This window comes from Homo sapiens, chromosome 9, assembly GCF_000001405.40.
Source record: "Homo sapiens chromosome 9, GRCh38.p14 Primary Assembly".
Taxonomy (NCBI): domain Eukaryota; kingdom Metazoa; phylum Chordata; class Mammalia; order Primates; family Hominidae; genus Homo; species Homo sapiens.
Genome location: NC_000009.12, coordinates 81,268,920 through 81,278,029, shown reverse-complemented (window position 1 = coordinate 81,278,029; position 9,110 = coordinate 81,268,920). Strand labels below are relative to the sequence as shown.

At 41.1% G+C, this 9,110-nt stretch overlaps 1 pseudogene; it reads left to right on the top strand.

The window, feature by feature from the left end:
• The first annotated feature begins 3,931 nt into the window (after positions 1-3,931).
• On the top strand, positions 3,932-8,865 carry LOC107987022 (uncharacterized; annotated as a pseudogene).
• The last annotated feature ends 245 nt before the right edge of the window (positions 8,866-9,110 follow it).

Sequence of the window (9,110 nt, the reverse complement as noted above, 5' to 3'; positions counted from 1 at the left end):
AATTGTGCGTGTGTGTTTTGGGGGGACGTGATGGAACTAATAAGTTGTGATGCCTCTGTCATTTGCCCAGTCATGGAGAAAATAGCGCATGCTATGGGGCTCAGGGGTGCTCAGACCACAGAAGAGTTCCACAGAGCACTAAAGTATAACAGGCTAAATGTAGATATATTTGGCGTTAGATTTAAGAGGAAAAATACTATGCAAAATTCTTTGAGCAGTTTCTGTCCCCTTGTGTCTACAAACTTGTCATTGCAGTCAAACACAGAGAAAGAAAGAAACCCGATTATTTGGAAGACCAAAAAAGTGAGTCCTCCACTTTATATGGGAATCCTATTGATAACAGGCCCAATGGCTCTGCTTAAACAAATTCAGTGACGAGGCATAGACCACACTATAAGGAATCCTATTTCGTTTTTGAGCAGCTGTAACTGTTAGAAATGTCTCTGTATTCAGTCAGACTCAACACTTTTGTGCTGTGATGTTTATCATTTCAATACTTGTTGAAGTCGGTCTCAGCTGTCTTGTATTTCTTTAGAGGAATGCCAAGTGAAAGTCTGTAGGTTTGATTCTTATGATGCCCCTTTGCATGCACCAGAAAGACCCATTTCATGACCTTAGTCTGCTGCTCTGAGTTACCATGTTGTGCAGAAGTGTTCTGTAGTTGATGGAGGTAGGAGGATGGGCTTGGGGGATGAAGAGGTAGCATGGAAAGCCCACTCAATACAAAGCCCTACTTCTATAGGAACAGCAACACACATCCCAGGCTTCCCTGTTGGTAGCTTGAACACCTAGGTCTTTCAGAGCACGTAAGGCTCAGTGATGCCTACCCAGAAAATCTCAGTAGAGGTAACTTTTTCAATTGTTAATTATCTATAGGCAAAAACCATAATTGCATTTCCAAAGTGCTCCTGCATTTTAACATTTGGATCTTTGACACTGATTGCTCTTTGAAACTTCAGATACTGAGGAAACAATGTGCTTGGATGAAACACTATTTGAATTCAGGACTATTCAAATCCAGGCTGTGATAGGAGTAACTGTTCAGATAATACTGATTTATTAATGCCCTGTATCTGTTACCTGTCCCTTGTCAGAAGCCCCAGAGAGAGCAGAAATCTTTAAAAAATTTTGATAGCTTACATAAGAGAATAATAACCAAAATAACTAAAGTCATCTTCTGAGGAATGACTTGTTGGAAGAGAGGCCAGTGAGAAGCAAATTTGTTAAATGTCAGGCTGGAATGGGGTGCTGAATTTTGACCCACCCTTGTTGGCACCTTGAAAGGTAAAATAAGAGTAAAGTCTTTCAGAAGACCCACCCTTGTTGGGGAAGGCAGTTCCCATGGTTTTCTTTCATAAAAGAATTAGCTTCAAATGTAATAGATTTTTACAATTGACAGAAGCTATAGGATAGTTTTGTTCCATTCCCTTCATTTTATAGGTAAGAAAACCAAAAGAAATTTTTAACAGACAATTGTTACATAACTATTATATTCTAGGCACTGTTGTAGGAATTGGGGATATTGTAGACAATAAGGTGTTGTTGACTGCTTAGATCAATTAGACAGAGTTCTAAAACCAGTTAGGGCAGACCACAGCTAGACTAGCACCCAACCCACTCTTGCTTTGACCAGCAGTCTTGTCTCTACTGCTCACCTTTCAGCACCTTGAATTGCTTATTTTCCTCCTCTTCTACAAGCTCACTTCTGTTGTCAAGATGCCAGAAGAACGGTGGTTCTCAACAATTTTGGCCATCTCTTCTTCCCTTGAAAGACAAATGGGATTTACACAAATAATCTTTTTGTACCATCTCAGGGCATGTGTAGCACTCCTGATGTCCACAAGCATCAGGGCAAGCAATTCTGTATCTGAGTGATAATACAAGAACACCAGCCACATAAAGAAAATATGATGGGGCTGGGTACAGTGGCTCACACCTGTAATCCTAGCACTTTGGGAGGCTGAGGTGGGTAGATAATTTGAGGCCAGGAATTTGAGACCCTCCTGCCCAACACAGTGAAACCTTATTTCTACTAAAAATACAAAAATTAGCTGGGCATGGTGACATGCACCTGTAATCCCAGCTACCTGGGAGGCTGAGGTAGGAGAATCACTTGAGCCTGGGAGGCGGAGGTTGCAGTGAGCCGAGATCATGTCACTGCCCTTCAGCCTGGGCAACAGAGTGAGACTCCATCTCAAAAAAGAAAAAAAAAAAAGAGAAAATACTATGGGCTATCAGCTTTATAGCTTTATATCTGGAGAATTTTGTGAGGTCTGCAAAATTTCTACTATCAGTAATAATTTTATCAATCACTCAATGAATCAATCAAACCAAAGAAAAATTGACAAAACATTTTCCAGGCTCTGTGAGAAAACATGGAATTTTAAGACATGATTCTTGTTTTACTTATGAGGAAATTGAGTTACAGAAATGTTAAGTAACAAATGGCCATAGCCTGTGTAACTAATGAGACCAGAGTTTGAACCCAGGGTTTAACATTTGAATTCTAGTGTTTTTTCCTCTGTAGGAGAGCTACTTTGAGATGTCAGAAATAACGACTGAGTAAAAAAAACTTTTTAAAAAATTATTTTTAATTGACACATTGTTACAGTTTGGATTTATATCCCCACCCAAATCTCCTGTCAATTATAATCCCCAATGTTGGAGGGGAGCCTGGTGAGAGGTGATTGGATCATGGGGGCGCATTTCCCCCTTGCTGTTCTCATGATAGTGAGTGAGTTCTCATGAGATCTGGTTATTTAAAAGTGTGTAACACCTCCCTTTTCGCTCTCTTCCTTCTCTGGCCATGTAAGACGTGTCTGCTTCCTCTTCGCCTTCTGCCATGATTGTAAGTTTCCTGAGGCTTCCCTAGTCATGCTTCCTGTACAGCCCTCAGAACTGTGAGTAAATTAAACCTCTTTTCTTTATAAATTATCCAGTCTCAGGTTGTTCTTTATAGCAATGTGAGACCAGACTATTGCACATATAATTGCACATATTGATGGGGTACAGAGTGATATTTTGAAACATTTACACAATGTGTAAGGATCAAATCAGGGTAATGAACATATCTGTCACTTCAAATATTTATCACTTTTTTGTTTTGGGAATATTCAAAATCCTCTTCTGACTAATTGAAAATATACAATGCATTGCTGTTAGCCACAGTCACCGCACAGTGGTATAGAATGCTGGAGTTTATTTCTCCTATCTAGCTATGATTTTGTATCCCTTAATTTACCTGTCCCTATTCCTCCTCTCCACTATCCTGTCCAACCTCTGGTAACCACTATTCTACCCTCTACTTCTATAAGATCAACTTTTTTAGCTTCTACATATATATAAGAGCATGTGTGGTATTTATCTTTTTGTGCCTGGCTTATTTCACTTAACATGATGTTCTTCAGGTTCATCTATGTTGCTACAAACAACAAAATTTCATTCTTTTTTACAGCTGAGCAGTATTCCATTGTATGCATGTACCACATTTTCTTTATCAATTTACCTCAGAATAGCTATTGTCAAAAAGGTAAAAAATAAATGCTGGTGAGGATACAGGGAAAGGGGAACTCTTATATGCTATTGGTGGGAATGTAAATTAGTACAGCTACTGTGGAGAATGGTGCAGAGGTTCCTCAAAACACTGAAAATATAATTACAAAATGATGTGGCAGTCCCACCACCGGGTATATATTTAAAGAAAAGGAGATCAGTATGTTGAAGAGTTATCTGCACCAATATGATTATTGTATGCACAGTAGCCAAGATATGGAATAAACCTAAGTGTGCATCAATAGATGAATGGAAAAACTTCTTAACTGTGTAGCAGAACACAGGTGTTTTCTAAATCTGCATGTGAGGCAGATCAGTAAGGGCTGGAGAACATATGGAAAACTTCCTGAATGAACAGTGCATCAAAGGATGGGAAGGTATGGATAGGTAAAGTAGAATCAAAATAATCAGGCCAGGCATGGTGACTCATGCCTGTAATTCCAGTACTTTGGGAGGCTGAGGTGGGCCGATTGCTTGAGGTCAGGAGTTCGAGGCCAGACTGGACAACAAGATGAAACCCCTTCTCTACTAAACATACAAAAAATAAGCTGCGTGTAGTGGCACACGCCTGTAGTCCTAGCTACTCAGGAGGCTGAGACAGGAGAATCGCTTGAACCCAGGAGGTGGAGGTTGCAGTGAGCCAAGATCGTACCACTGCACTCCAGCCTGGGAGTCAGAGGGAGAATCCATCTCAAAAAAAAAGAAAAAGAAAAAGAAAAAGAGAGTGATCAATGCATCAAGAAGAATGGAAAATAATTTGATGTGCCAAAGAGCAAATTTCTGGAATAGCAACTTCTATTACTACAAATCCAGTTTTAAATATAGATGTGTCTATTTAGGTAATTAATGTGTTTCTTTTTCTACTTACATATGCTATTTAAAGATGGAGAACACACTTTGGGAAGCCAAGGCAGGAGGATAGCTTGAGCTCAGGAGTTTGAGACCAGCCTGGGCAACATAGTGAGATCTCATCTTAAAAAAAAAAAAAAAAAAAAAAAGATGGAGAAAAGAGGGAGGTATCCAGAATCTGGTCACTTTACCACACATTTACTTATATTAGAAATGGTAAGTATAGACAATAATAAACAATAAATAGTCCTTACTCTCAAGAAACTTAGACTCCTATTGGGGAATTGTAACTTTACCTGTAATTGTACCTGAAGAATTCAGAATTTCAGAATTCTTGATAATTTTTGGTCCCTTTTTTTTTATTTTTGTTTTTACTTTTTCAGACTTGAGTTGGTAAGTAGAATAACCAATATTAACCCAATATGTTTACAATGGCTTCTGTGCTAGTCTCCTCAGGCTGCTATAACAAAATACTGTAGGCTAGGTGGCTTCAACAAATGACATTTATTTTCTCAGAGTTCTGGTGGCTGGAAGTTTGAGATCAGGGTTCTTGGTGAAGACTTTCTTCCTAGCTTACAGATGGCCACCTTCTGTCTGTGTCTTCACATAGTGGAAAGAGTGAGAGAGCTCTGGTGTCTCTACCTCTTCTTGTAAAACACTCATCCCATCCTGGGGACCCCACCTTCACATACCACCACATTGGGGTTAGGGTTCCAACATTGCATTTTGGAGGGATACAAACATTACATGACAACTCCCAAAAATGTTCTCACTATAAATAGGCAAATATTACTCTACAATTTTAATTAAGAGACTAACAACATGGTATACCATCTTTGAAGGCACCATATTTAATCTGTGGTTTTTATTTTATTCAAAGCAATTCAATTGGTCTATAATTGTGATAATTCTGCTGAGAGCTTGTAAACTCTGAACCTGCTGTGATACAAAACACATGAATGCCTCTGTGTGTATAAAATTAGCTATAGTTCGGATTTGTAGAGTGTCATGCTCGGTGCTTGTTCAATTCTTGTAATGGTGGCATGTTGTCCCTCTATTGTCCCCATTCTACAGATGAGAAAGTCAGCAAAGAAAACACAATCTAGTTAGAGAAAAAGGCTTTAGGAATCTCTACTCAAGTACAAGGAGTTTAGTGGTAGTGATAAGTAACTTTCCTCTTACAATTGTATCTACTAATGTTTCATTTGTTCATCATTAAAATAGAGAAGTATTGAAATTGATGGAGTACCTTTGGGTCACCTCTAAGTTTGAACCTACAAACTGCAGTGCACAGGGAATTGTTTCTTATGTAAACTTGTTTATTATGCTAGAAGGTCTAGAATGTCCATGTTCACGCAGATTTCAGACTGCTGTAGTCTCTGTGATGAGAACCCATTGTACCCATATAGTAATGCTAATTCTTATAATATATTAAAATTCATTATAATTATTTTATATCTTAATTACCTTATATTATTACATGTTATTATATGGGAAACAATGCATCCTATTATGTTATCACACCTTACTAGTTAATCATGAACCTATTTCTCCTATTTGAACACAGCTTGAATTCTTGGCAGTTCAGGGAGATTAAGAAAGTTGCCTGAGTTGACATAGCCAATAAACAAAGAAGCCAGGATTCAAACTTAGGCCTGAAACACATGCCCTTTCCTGTGCCTTGCTGTGGCCCCAATTTATGATTCACCTTTCATCACTGTGATGGTTAATACTGAGTGTCAACTGGATTGGATTGAAGGATGCAAAGTAGTGATCCTGGGTGTGTCTGTGAGGGTGTTGCCAAAGGAGGCATTTCAGTGAGCAGACTGAGAAAGGTAGACCCACCCTTAATCTGGGTAGGCACCATCTAATCAGCTTCCAGTGTGGCCAGAATATAAAACAGGCAGAAAAATGTGAAAAGGCTGGACTGGCCTAGCCTCCCAGCCTACATGTTTCTCCTGTGCTGATGCTTCCTCCCCTTGAACATCGGACTTCAAGGTTTTCAGCTTTGGGACTTGGACTTGCTTCCTTGCTCTTCAGCTTGCAGATGGCCAATTGTGGGATCTTGTGATCGTTTGAGTTAATACTACTTAATAAACTCCCATATATCTATCTATATATTCCATTAGTTCTGTCCCTCTAGAGAACCCTGAATAATACAGATTTTGGTACCGAGAGTGGGGTCCAGAACAGGAGAAGGATCTGCAACAGATCCAGGCTGCTGTCCAAGCTGCCCTGCCACTTGGGCCATATGACCCAGCAGATTCAATGGTGCTTGAGGTGTCAGTGGTAAATGGGGATACTGTTTGAAGCCTTTGGCAGGCCCCCATAGGTGAATCACAATGGAGTCCTCTAGGATTTTGGAGCAAGGCCCTGCCATCTTCTGCAGATAACTACTGTCCTTTTGAGAGATACCTCTTGGCCTGTTACTGGGCTTTGGTGGAAACTGAACGTTTGACTATGGGTCATCAAGTCACCACGTGACCTGAACTGCCTCCATGAACTGCGTGCTTTCTGACCCATCTATCCACAAAGTGGGTCGTGCACAGCAGCATTTCATCATCAAGTGGAAGTGGCATATACCTGATCAAGCTCTAGCAGGTCCTGAAGGCACAAGTAAGTTACATGAGGAAGTGGCTCAAATGCCCATGGTCTCCACTCCTGCCACCCTACCTTCTCTCCCCCAGCCTGTACAGATGTCCTCATGGGGAGTTCCCTGTGATCAGTTGACAGAGGAAGAGAAGACTAGGGCCTGGTTCACAGATGGTTTTGCATGATATGCAGGCACTACCCGAAAGTGGATAGCTGCAGCACCACAGCCCCTTTCTAGGAAATTCCTGAAGGACGGTGGTGAAAAGGAATCTTTCCAGTGGGCAGAACTTCAAGAAGTGCACCTGGTTGTGCACTTTGCATGGAAAGAGAAATGGACAGATGTGCGATTATATACTGACTCATGGGCTGTAGCCAATAACCATCAATAACCATTGGCTGGATGGTCAGGGACTTGGAAGAAGCATGATTGGAAAATTGGTGACAAAGAAATGTGAGGAGGAGGTATGTGGATGGACCTCTCTGAGTGGTCAAGAACTGTGAAGATATTTGTATCCCATGTGAGTGCTCACCAAAAGGTGACCTCTGCAGAGGAGGATTTTAATAACCAAGTGGATAGGATGACCCATTCTATGGACACCACTCAGCTTCTTTCCCCAGCCACCCGTTATCGCTCAATCGGCCCATGAACAAAGTGACCATGGTGACAGGGATGGAGGTTATGCATGGGCTTAGCAACATGGACTTCCACTCACCAAGGCTGACATGGCTACAGCCACTGCTGAGTGCCCATTTGCCAGCAACAGAAACCAACACTGAGCCCTCAATATGGCACCATTCCTTGGGGTGATCAGCCAGCTACTTGGCGGCAGGTTGATAATATTTGACCTCCTCAGTCATGGAAAGGGCAGCGGCTTGTCCTCACTGAAATAGACACTTACCCTGGATATGGGTTTGCCTATCCTGCTCGCAATGCTTCTGCCAAGACTACCATCCATGGACTCACAGAATGCCTTATCCACCATCATGGTATTCCACACAGCATTGCCTCTGACCAAGACACTCACCTTACAGCTAAAGAAGTGTGGCAGTGGGCTCATCATGTTCATGGGATTCACTGGTCTTACCATGTTTCCCATCATCCTGAAGCAGCTGGATCGATAGAATGGTAGAATGGCCTTTTGAAGTCAAAATTACAAAACCAACTAGGTGACAATACTTTGCAGGGTTGGGGCAAAGTTCTCCAGAAGGCTGTGTATGCTCTGCATCAGCATCCAATATATGGTACTGCTTCTCCCATAGCCAAGATTCACAGGTCCAGGAATCAAGGAGTAGAAGTGGAAGTGGCACCACTCACCATCACCCCCAGTGATCCACTAGCAAAATTTTTGCTACCTTTTCCCACGACATTACGTTCTGCTGGCCTAGACGTCTTAGTTCCAGAGGGAGGAACGCTGCCACCAGGAGACACAACAATTTCACTGAACTGGAAGTTAAGATTGTCACCTGCACACTTTGGGTTCCTCCTATTTCTAAGTCAATAGGCTAAGAAGGGAGTTACAGTGTTGGCTGGGATGATTGACCCGGACTGTGAAGATGAAATCAGTCTACTACTTTACAACGGAGATAAGGAAGACTATGCATGGAATACAGGAGATCCATTAGGGTCTCTCTTAGTATTACCATGCCCTGTGATTGAGGTCAATGGGAAACTACAACAGCCCAATCCAGGCAGGACTACAAATTACCCAGACCCTTCAGGAATGAAGGGTTGGGTTATTCCATCAGGGAAAAATCCATGACCTGCTGAGGTGCTTGCTGAAGGCAAAGGGAATAAAAAAATGGGTAGTAGAAGAAGGTAGTCATCAATACTAGCTACGACCACATGACCAGTTGCAAAAACGAGGACTGTAATTGTCGTATTTCCTCCTTGTTTGTTAAAAACATGTTTGTGCATGTATACACTTGAACTTAGAAAATATCTTTATTTTCTTTTCCGTTTATCATGTGACATAAGGTTTATTGACTTTATATCAGGATTTTAGTATTGTTAACTTTCTGTAATAGCATTTGGGTTGGGGATTGGTGTGTTTCTGGTTGTACAAAGGATAGTGGTATTATGTTAGGTGTAATTATGACCTTATTATTGTCTTTATTTG